Here is a 12116-nt window from a genome sequence, read left to right as displayed (position 1 = left end):
CTGCCCGTCATAAAATGTTAAGTGGGATTTTTCCTGTTGTCCTAAAATTGCAACATAGGACCAAACCTCAGGGCCAAAGGTTCTCATTAGCTCTTACAGTCCAAGTTCAAGATGTCACCAGGAGCTCACCACATCCTAGGGCTTCCTGAGGTCGGCAGGCCTGAACTGACTCTACCACCAATGACACCCCAACCCCACCCTCATTTCCAAACTAAGGAGGTTTTTGGGTCCTAAGCCATGTGGAGGTACAGTCAGTGTTCCTGGTGACAGGAGCTGGGAAGGAGGTATTCCTCCTTGTCCATCTACCCAGGGCAGTCTCCCTTCTGATGGTCACACAGTCAGCTGATTAGGACTTCACATCCGCGCTATCCCTTGGCCAGGTGATGTAATATTATCACGGAAGCAAGCTCCATTACGGATATTTACAGGCTCCATCCATACTCAAGAGGAAGGATTACATGATTATACAGGGTGGGGAGTGGGGATCGTGGAGACTGTCTTAGAATTCTTCCTATCACAAAGGAGAAGGGGTCCCTTTGATCCCTGAAGCTAAGTAAGGAGGCGTGTCCTGAGACAATCACTCATAAAGAGTTCAGCAAGATGGGGCTCTCAGCATCTCTCTCCAGCTGGACTCTTGCTAAGATACAGATGACACAGATGTTCCCAGGCCACACAGAGCTGGGCCTGGTAAGAGGCGTCAGCGTGAGTGCTCTGGGATCCAGGAGGATGGTGCCACATCTGGTTCTGTCCCTCTCGCACTGAGGTTAGGGGTAGACCTGTGACACTTGTGCCTGTCGCCAGGCTGTGGAGTTCACCGGAGTGATCTGCTCCTTTGAGGTTTGAAGCACTGGAAGCTCAGTGAGTCTGGGAAGACGATGGGACAACTCTACCCACCCCAGTTCTCCAAGTCCCTCCAAAGCAATGGAAGGGGACCCTTCACTTCCCAAGTCTCTACATGGAAGGGCACAGAAAGTTCTGGTGCGAGGGGCAGAGTGAGAAGGTGAGGGGCTGATGGGCGGGCAGTTGAGTTTGAAATGGAAGCTCTCAAATGCCTAGGACTGAATTTTTAAAATTTGTTTTATTGTGGTAAAATATACATAACATAGAATGTACTATTTTAACTGTGTTTCAGGGTACAATTCAGTGGCATTGAGTGCATTCAAAATGTTGTGCGACCATCGTCACCACCCATCTCTAGGACTTTTTCAACTTCCCCAGCTGAAGCTCTGCACCAGTTAAACAGTAACTCCCCATTCTCCCCTCTGCCAGCCCCTGACATCCACCATTCTACTTTGTCTATGAATTTGCCTATTTTAGGCAATTTATCCTTTTGTGACTGGCTGCTTTTTCTTCTTCTTCTTCTTTTTTTTTTTTTGAGATGGAGTCTTGCTCTGTTACCAGGGCTAGAGTGCAGTGGCACAATCTCGGCTCACTACAACCTCTGCCTCCCGGGTTCAAGCGATTCCCCTGCCTCAGCCTCCTGAGTAGCTGGGATTACAGGTGCCTGCCACCATGCCTGGCTAATTTTTGTATTTTCAGTAGAGATGGGGTTTTGCCATGTTGGCCAGGCTGGCCTTGAACTCCTGACCTCAAGTGATCCTCCCACCTTGGCCTCCCAAAGAGCTGGGATTACAGGCGTGAGCCACTGCACCTGGCCTGTGACTGGCTTCTTTCACTTAGCCTAATGTTTTCAAGGTTCATTCGTACTGTAACATGTAGCAGGATCTCATGTTTTAAAGCTGGATACTATTCCACTGTCTGCATAGATCACATTTTGTTTATCCATTCATCTGCCAACGGACATTGCAGTTGTGTCCACCTTTTGGTATTGTGAATAATGCTGCTATGAACACAAGTGTGCAAATATCTGTTTGAGTCCCTGCTTTCAGTGGTTTGGGGTATTCACCCAGAAGAAGAATTGCTGAATTCTATGCTAATTCTATAATAATTCTATGTTGAACTTTTTGGGAAACCACCATACTGTCTTCCACAGTGGTTGCACTATCTGATATTCCCACCAGCAATGTATGAAGGTCCCAGCTTCTCCACTTCTTTGCCAACATTTGTTATTTTCCTTTTTTTTTTAAAAAAAAGTAGGGGCTGGGCACAGTGACTCACGCCTGTAATCCCAGCACTTTGGGAGGCTGAGGCAGGTGGATCACTTGAGGTCAGGATTACAAGACCAGCCTGACCAACATGGTGAAACCCCGTTTCTACTAAAAATACAAAATTAGGCATGGTGGCAGGCGCCTGTAATCCCAGCTACTGGGGAGGCTGAGGCAGGAGAATCGCTTGAACCCAGGAGGTGGAGGTTACAGTGAGCAGAGATCGCACCATTACACTTCAGCCTGGGTGACACAGTGAGACTCCCTCTCAAAAAAAAAAAAAAAATAGGGCTGCATCTTAGCTATAAAAACGAGACTGGTTATTAGGCTAGTCTAATTTAATTTGCTTATTAAGTAAAAAATGTGAGATGTTAGAAAAATTATTAAATCTGGCCCATCTGATCACTGATGTACTGCCACTCTGTGGAAAATGGAAATTCAACGAAGAAGCATTGGGACAGATACTGACGGCAATAAAACCATTTCATGTTTTTGCCCCATTAAGTTGAGAGTCCAGAATAAACCAGTTATGGGAATATAAAGCAATAAGAAAAAGAGAGTTTTTTTCTTTCTTGGCTTTTCTTAAAATGCTTACTGACTTTCAAAATGGTTCACGTGAGATTGTAGCAGGCCAAATCTATTTATTGCCTTCACTATCTCATCCCCCATTTATTTTCTAAATGCCTGGTGTCTCGGTTCTATTCCCACCACGATTCTAAAGCTGTATTCTCGTAAGTCTTATCCACTTCTCAGGCATCTGGCTGTTTGGATCATCCATTAAATGTAAGTATTTTTCCCAAACTTGAATCTTCAGCCCAGGGTTCAGACAGCTCTCCTTGGGCAAAAGCATTCATCACCCTGGCCTCAAATATTACCTCGATGATGATGACCTGAAAAATCACCACCGCTGGGCATTATTTGTTTTGTTTAACAAGCTGAGCACTGACTCTGGTTCCACTCGGGAACCTTGTTTGAAACCATCTGCCGGGCATCTCACTTATTAAATGCGTTCATCCATCCATCACCTCTATTTCATTGTGAAAGGCCAGGTTCTCTTTTCGGAGTGCTTGAGATGGGAGAGTATAAACAAAAAAGGAGTTAAATCACTGCCTGATACAGAAACAGGAATGATCCATGGGAGTCTCAGAGGGGGACTGGGGCCCTGAAGAGGGCCTGTAGGGGGAAGGGAAGGGAGGGCTACGTGGCAATGTGATAGGAGACCAGGACCTACGTATGGAGAGACGTGGAAGTAAAGCGTTCTCTATGTGGGACATGGCCTGGACGTTAACGGGCTGATGATGTCGGGCGTTCACTTTGAAGTGTTTGCAAATTGTGTGGACATTCAGCGCTCCCTGAACTTCAGTGACACCAGCCTGGTGTTAGCAGCTGTTGGGGTCGCATCCTGTCATTTCCAGGAAAGCAAGTAGAGGCTGAAATAGAGCTGGGCGTGACGGTTTGGAGGAATGCAGAGAAGTCAGTGATTATGAGTAAGAAAACAAAGCCAGCTGGGTGCGGTGGCTCATTCCTGTAATCCCAGCACATTGAGAGGCCAAGGTGGGTAGACTGCATGAGCTCAGGAGTTTGGGACCAGCCTGGGCAATGTGGCGAAACCTCATCTCTAACAAAAATTACAAAAATTAGCTGGGAGTGCTGGCACACGCCTGTAGTCCCAGCTACTTGGGAGGCTGAGGTGGAAGGATCGCTTGAGCCTGGGAGGTCGAGGCTGCAGTGAGCCGTGTTTGTGCCATTGCACTCCAGCCTGGGCGACAGACCGAGACCCTCTCTCAACAACAACAACAACGAAAGCAAACCCCCTTGCTCCTGAATATGTTAAAGAAATAGGAGCAAGTGTTCTAGATGCTCCTATTATAACTACTTAAGGCATTTTATTTTGATGTTAAATAAAATAGTGACCTCCAGAAATTGGAGATCGGCTGGGCACGGTGGCTCACGCCTGTAATCACAGCACTTTGGGAGGCCGAGGCGGGCAGATCATGAGGTCAGGAGATCGAGACCATCTTGGCTAACACGGTGAAACCCCATCTCTACTAAAAATACAAAAAATTAGCCAGGCATGGTGGCGGGCGCCTGTGGTCCCAGCTGCTCAGGAGTCTGAGGCAGGAGAATGGCGTGAATCAGGAGGCAGAGCTTACAGTGAGCCGAGATCGCGCCACTGCACTCCAGACTGGGAAACAGAGTGAGACTCCGTCTCAAAAAAAAAAAAAAAAAAGAAGTTGGAGATCATGGAGATGCTTGAATTATATATTCATGTACATGGCCGGGCGCAGCGGCTCACGCCTGTTAACTCCAGCACTTAGGGAGGCCCAGGCAGGTGGATCACTTGAGGTCAGGAGTTCGAGACCAGCCTGGCTAACATGGTGAAACTCATCTCTACTAAAAATACAAAAATTAGCCAGGTGTGGTGGTGGGCACCTGTAATCCCAGCTACTCAGGAGGCTGAGGCATGAGAATCATTTGAACCCGGGAGGTGGAGGTTGCAGTGAGCAAAGATCATGCCACTGTACTCCAGCCTGGGCGATAGAGCGAGACTCAGTCTCAAAAAAAAAAAAAAAAAAAAAAAATTCGTGTGCGTGCCATTGCCCTGTGGCATTAGGTGCATAGTCTCCACATATGTGAGAGAACTCATGAGGTAAATGTGTTTACTATTACTAAGTGCTGGCTCCTCACCTTCCCTTTGGGCTCATCATCTTCTGTCTCAGGCCCCCGCCCCCGTCCTCTTCCTTAAGCTCTTTAAAAAGCCTAGACACCCTCTTTCTCACATTTCAGGTGTATAAATAATATCACCTTGTATCTTTATACCATTTCATAGCCTACAAAACTGATTCACGCACGTTTCATTCTCACGACAGCCTTGGAAGGTGTTGTTATTCCCATTGCACAGATGAGGAAACTGAGGCTCAAAAGGATTCAATGTTTTGCTCTGTCTCACTCATGTAGTGAGTGGCAGAGTGATCATTCTAGGTCTACTGCTGTCTGCTTTTCACCAGGGCTGTTCATGAGTTTCTGGTTGCCTGGTGTAGCAGTACCTTTTCCATGAGTTTGCTCTCTATAAAGCCCATTAGGGGACTTGTGCTCATATTGTTGACCATTTTCAAGGTTATTAAATTAGTATTGGGGAAAAGCACAACCTTTATGAGAGTTTAAGGAATTGTAATAAACATGAGCAATGTGGAAATCTCATTAGAAATGTGGAAATCTCACCTTATTAAATATTCATCTAAGTAGAGAGAACTGATAGATACGAAGAGGAAGGGCTACAGGGAGAATGATAGCAAAATAGAAGCTGTGTTTCCTAGCAAAAGGTTGAAAACTTCATAAAAATCCATCAAGATTTTGATGGAAAGCATCAAAATCTTTCTCAAGTGTCCATGAAGAATTACTAAATGCCAACTACAAAGTGCTGTTTTATGTGTATGAAAAGATTCGGTGCTTCCATGTATCAACAAAACCCCAAATAGAAGAATGCCATGGGCACAGCGGACATAGATTAAAGCATCATCTCTGCTGGAGACAGACAAAAGCCCTACATTCAAGCAAAACTCAGAAGCCACAAAGAGATCATGCCACGGGACGCATACTACACAGACGTCGTCATTTTGCACATCTTCATGTCATTCTTCAGTCTTCTTTGGAAGCCTTTAGCCAGAACTGTCACGAGTGACAAAGAGGAAAGTCGAGGCCGTGCAGGTGAGAGGCAGACCTGGCCACAGGATACAGGCTGCTCCTCTCTCTGACACCCCCAGGCCGAGCAGATGGGCCATCCTTGTAAACCGTGTGTTATGCTGGGGGAATAATTATTCTCAATGGGGTTTTTCCATGTGCCCATTTTCAAGCAACTATGTCAGGAGAGCAGGGATAATTGATACACAGACATAATTCCATAATCGGTTTGAGCTTCATCTTTCATCAGTCCGTTTCCAAAATCTACTAAAAATAACAAAATTAACTCTAATTTTCATTGACTTTCTGTTGTCCTTCCTCTCCCGGGAAGAAGTGTTTACGAGCTCCAAAGAGGAACAGGCCAGGTTAGAGTCAGCAATTGAACAGGCTAAGCAATTAAGATCTGACGCTAGCATGCAATATGACATATGAGCAAGAAGTCATCTAATTTAATAAGTGGAATTACAGAATGAAGAAGTCATTCTAGCTTACATTGCATTAAAAGTTGTTCTAAGAAAACACAAATGTTTGAAGTGTTTCTAAGAGGGCAAAATAATTCTTCATTTCATAAATGCATTTGCTAAAAGGTACCTTTCCGTAGTAAGTTCCTTTGGTACATTAATAAAATTCAGGTTACGGCTGGGCATGGTGGCTCACTCCTGTAATCCCAGCACTTTGGGAGGCTGAGGCAGGCGGATCACTTGAAGTCAGGAGTTCGAGACCAGCCTGGCCAACATAGTGAAACCGCGTCTCTACTAAAAATACAAAAATTAGCTGGGTATGGTGGCGGGCGCCTGTAATCCCAGCTACTTGGGAGGCTGAGGCAGGAGAATTGCTTGAACCCAGGAGGTGGAAGGTGCAGTGAGCTGAGATCATGCAATTGCACTCCAGCCTGGGCCACAGAGTGAGATTCCTTCTCAAAAAAACAAAACAAAACAAGACAGTGCTGGAATAACACACTATGATTTTTTTTAGCAAAATAGTTTTCAGTTAATTATTTGAAAAAAGCCATCAACATTGGATCAGGGGAAAAATATTTAAATATATTTTGTAAACATGTAGTCTTCCTTTTCTTGCCCATTGAAGAGATGTCGTAGGGCGGCGTTGGCCAGATATCTTTAAATAAGTGAAAAAGTATCTCGTAACTGAAACAGGAGGATGGGCATGCGCCAGGGTAATGTGACATTTCAGCACTAGCCTGACCACCCTCTCTGGGGTCTGATCACTATCCGCAGACAGCATTGTGTGCTATCTCGAAGGCCTTCCATTTCACCTGGGCTTGCTGCGGGTACTCTGGGGAAGGAGCCTTCTTGGCAGGCATTTCCAGATGGTTTTGTGATGACCCAGTTCTCACAATAGAAGCCATACTGGGAGAGAACAGAAGCTGAGAGGTTGACGTGGGAAGCCCAGGTTCCTTCAATCCTGCTGGAGCAGCTTCTGAATTTCAGAGAGGGGCAGAGCTGTGACCTGTCCTTCACCCCAAGGTTTGATTTGTTGGTTAGCACATTTGAGAAGGAAACAGGGCAGTTTGTCATGCTTTATTCGTGGGAGGCTCAGCGTGGAAACTTCTGATGCTGCTCACATTAAGGCTCTGAAGTCAATTACTGTTCATAAGGCTGTTGAGTTCTCTCTTTTTTCCTACATTAGTGGAAAAGGACCAGGAGGCTTGGCATATGTGAATTTCAGGGACACCTTGCAGCCGTAATAATGACTCCATTCCTTTGTTGCTAGTAAGTGGGAAAGCAGGAATTGAGCCCGTTTCCAGGTGTTGGGCTGCCTGAGAAACCCCTCACAGCCAAGTCCTACTCAAAAACGCTCAATGGCTTCCCAAATTCAGCCCCTCCAGTGCTGTATTCTTCTACCTGGCCCCCAAATGACCGCTGCCCTCTAGTCCCTTGCTGATTCTCTTGCTTTAATATTTGCAGTTCTGCTCTTTCCTGAGCACTTTCTGTACTTCCCGGTCCTGCGTCCTTGCTTGGGCTGTCCCCTGCCCTGGTAAAAATCTGGCTGGTCCTTGAAGCTCAGCTTTGACTTCACTTTTTTCAGGAAGGTTTTCAAGTATCCCCAACCATTTCCCATGTCTCCTTCTTTCTCTCTTTCTTAAAAAAAATGTTTTAAAGACAGGGACTCGTTCTGTCACCTAGGCTGGAGTGCAGTGGTGCAATCATAGCTCACTGCAGCCTTGACCTCCTGGGCTCAAGTGAACCTCTTCAGCCTCTTGAGTAGCTGGGATGACAAGTGCCCGCCCCTGCACTCAGCTGGTATTGGTCATCTATGTATGTACGCATGTAGGTATATATGCATGTATATGAGACAGGGTCTCACTTTCACCCAGGCTGGAGTGCAGTGGTGTGATCATAGCTCATTTCAGCCCCAAACTCCTGGGCTCAAATTATCTTCCCGCCTCAGCCTCCCAAGTAGTTGGGATGACAGGCATGCACCACCATGCCCAACTATGTTGCTCCCCAACGGGCCCACGGAAACTCAAGGAACATTCCAGATGGCCTAGAGAGCATCTGGAGTGTTCCATCTATGGTCTCAGAGAAGACAACACAACCCATGGGTCCCTGCAAGCACAGCACGTGGGCCCTATTCCCAGGGCAGTTCAATCTTAATTTTAGCCGGGTGGGGAAAATGTCAAAGTGCCCAGGGCCATCGTGACCTAGGGGCATGGCTGGTGGCCGGTCCACCCTGTTGAGATGACCAGCGCCACTCAGACCACTCAGCGGGGGACTGACTGGGGCAGCGGACAGCGCTGGCTGGAGGAGACGTTTCTCTGGGCAGTCCCCAGTCCTCCAGCTCTAATAGATGCACTTCTCACCTATTTTTAGAAATTTCCAGAAAAGGAGGTCTCACTCTTTTCTTGCATGGAGAATGGGAGAGAGCATGGGTTAGCGAAGGGTACGTCTGGGAAACTCTGGAAACTGTTTTTTGGGAGGGCCCTGAGGTGAAGAAGGCGTCCAAGAGGGCCGCTCCGTCCTGGTTCTGCAGGCGTCGGGCAGGAAAAGGGGGAAGGGACACTTCAGCTTGCTGCGGCCACTGAGGGCAGGTGATCGCGTGCAGAGGGTACCCTGGGCTTTCTGGATTCTGAGAAAAGCCCAGTGTCGAGGGTGGTGGGTGAGGAACGGGGTGGGGTGTTGCGGGGGGCAGGGGGGACGTCTCCCATTTCAGCACCAAGGTCTGAACTCTGTGGTTCCCAGAATCAAGGTATAAGTCACGTAGCTGGGGAAGGTTCCCAGAATGAGGCTACAAGTCACATAGCCAGGGAAGGAGGGGCTGGAAGACCCTGTGTTGGCCGCACGGAGTGGGGCCTCCGCGTGACGCGGCTGCATGAATACCTACCGCGTGTGGGGAGAGCCAGGAGGTCTCCGCACAGACCCCTGACCACACGCCACCCTTTCGGGAAGGTGCGCACCGCAGGTGATGAAACCTGCACGGGGCCTGGAGGGCCCTGCCTGCATCACAGATCCCGCCACGGCTGCCAAGGCGGGCTTTCTCCAACCCCCGGCATCCAGCCAGGGGAGGAAACAAGGACTTCGGTTTTGATGGCTGTGGGGGTGTCATTCTTTCCCTTTAATTCTGAGATGCGTTGAGAGTTGGCTGCAGGGGTTGGCGGCTCCTCCCCGTGTCTGGAGTTGCCCAGGAAATCCAGAAGTCACTCCTGGGGGCCTTGCAAGGTGCCCCACGCTGCGCAGCAGAGCCCGTTGCGCCCTCCAACATTGGACTCCAAGTTCTTCAGCTTCTAGACTCGGGCTCACACCAGCGATCTGCCGGGGGATCTCGGGCCTTCAGCCACAGACTGAAGGCTGCGCTGCGCTGTTGGCTTCCCTACTTTTGAGGTTTTGGGACTGGGACTGGCTTCCTTGCTCCTCAGCTTGCAGACGCCTGTTGTGGGACTTCACCTTGTGATCGTGTGAGTCAGCATCCTTAATATACTCCCCGTTGAATATATTTCTATCTTATTAGTTCTGTCCCTCTAGAGAACCCTAATACAAGAATTACTAGAATATATAAGATAGTTAGCAAGTTTTCTGGCAGAATCAATACACAATGTCAACTGTGTTTCTCTACACCAGCAACAAACAGAAATTCAGTTTTATGTAAAGAAATAAAAAAAAAGTAACAATGACAAAAAATAGGGTACTAAGGATACATCTATAAAAGACTTTTATGGAGAAAGCTCAAACAGATACCATGTATATAAAAAGAAATACTTAATGTCATAAAGATGTCCGTTCTTAACTGACTTATAGTTTTAATGTAATTTCTTTTGAAGTTTCAATAAGAATTTTTTCTGAAATTGGACAAGACGAATCTCAAATTTAAAATAGAAGGGAAAAGTGCCAAGAATAATCTAGACAAAGGGTCCCCAACCCCTGGCACTGCTCTGTGGCCTGTTAGGAACAGAGCCTCACAGCATGGGGTGAGTGGCAGGTGACTGGGTGAAGCTTCATCTGTACTGACAGCCGCGCCTCATCACTCTCATTACCACCTGAGCTCTGCCTCCTGTCAGATCAGCAGTGGCATCAGATTCTCATAAGAGCAAGAGCCCTATTGTGAACTGTGCATGCCAGGGATCTAGGTTGCGTGCTCCTTAGGAGAATCTAATGCCTGATGATCTGTCACTGTCTCCCATCACCCGAGATGGGACCATGTAGTTGCAGGAAAACAAGCTCAGGGCTTCCACTGATTCTACACTATGGCGAGTTGTAGAATTATTTCCTCACATATTACAATGCAATAATAATAGAAATAAAGTGCACAATAAATGTAATGCACTGGAACCACCCCAAAACCATCCCCCACCCTCCTCTGTAGAAAAATTGTCTTCCATGAAACTGGTCCCTGGTGCCAAAAAGGTTGGGGACTGCTAGTCTAGACCTCTTCTTCCCCAAAGGAAATACTCAGGCAAGGGCCACACTCTGGAGAACAAGACTTATGACAGAACCGTAGTCAATTAAGGCTGTGGAATTAGCTGGGCAGTGTGGTGGCTCACACCTGTAATCCCAGCACTTTGGGAGGCCAAGGCGGGTGGATCACTTGAGGTTAGGAGTTCGAGACCAGCCTGGCCAATATAGCGAAACCCAGTCTCTACTCAAAATACAAAAATTAGTCAGGCATGGTGGCAGGTGCCTATATTCCCAGTTACTTGGGAAGGCAAGGCAGGAGAATCGCTGGAACCTGGGAGGCGGAGGTTGCAGTGAGCCAAGATTGTGCCATTGCACTCCAGCCTAGGCGACAGAGCTTCTGTTCATCAAAAAGTGCGTAAAGAGCATGTATACATATGTAACAAACCTGCATGTTGTGCACATGTACCCTAAAACTTAAAGTATAATAAAAAAGAAAGCGCGTAAAGAGGGCAAAAAGACTAGGCATGAACTTGGAGAAGATATTCTCAATACACATACCCGTCAGTGGGTTAGTACCTAGGATATATGAACTCCTAAAAAGTAACGCAAAAGTCTCAAACAACATGCGCAGGCATTTCTAAGAAGGAACACGAGTGACTCATAAACAAATGAAAATACCATCTATGATCAGCGTCATCAATAATCGGAGAAACGCAGCTTCAAACCACCATGAGATATCTTTCACCTCCACCCAGTTGGCAAAAAATGGAAGAATCACTTGGAGAAGGTGCGGAGCCGCTGGAACGTGCGTGGATTGCTGGAGGGAGATGGCTCAGTTTGGCTTAGCTGCTACAATAAAGCACCTCGGACTGCATGGCTTAAACAATAAATATGCGTCGTCTCACAGTTCTGGAAGCTAAGAAATCTGAGATGAAGGTGTTGGCAGCGTTGGCTTCTCCTGAGGCCTCTCTCCTTCTGCAGTTGGCTGCCTTCGCCCTGTGACTTCCCGTGGCCTTCCCTCTGTGTCTGTGTCCTTTTAGAAGGACACTCATCCTATTGGCTTAGGCACCCTAAGACCTCACTTTAACTTAATGACCTTTTTATTAGGTTGGTGCAAAAGTAATTGCAGTTTTTGACATTTTAAATGGCAATTACTTTTGCACCAACCCAATATTTTAGTATTTATTTATTTTTAAATGTTATTCTATTTATTTATTTAATTTTTTTTTATTTCAATAGCTTTTGGAATACAAGTGGTTTCTGGTCACACAGATGAATTGTGTAGTGGTGAAGTCTGAGATCTTAGTGCACCCATCACCTGAGGGGCATACATTGTACCCAATATATAGTTTGTTCACCCACCTTGCACCCTCCCTCCTTCTGAGTCTCCAGTGTCCACTGTCCTACTCCACAGGCCTTTGTGTACCCATGGCTTAGCTCCCACTTCTAAGTGAGAATGTGCAGTATTTGCTTTTCATTC

Source organism: Homo sapiens, chromosome 10 (genome assembly GCF_000001405.40).
Source record: "Homo sapiens chromosome 10, GRCh38.p14 Primary Assembly".
NCBI classification, from domain to species: Eukaryota; Metazoa; Chordata; class Mammalia; order Primates; family Hominidae; genus Homo; species Homo sapiens.
Note: the sequence above shows the minus strand (reverse complement) of the source record.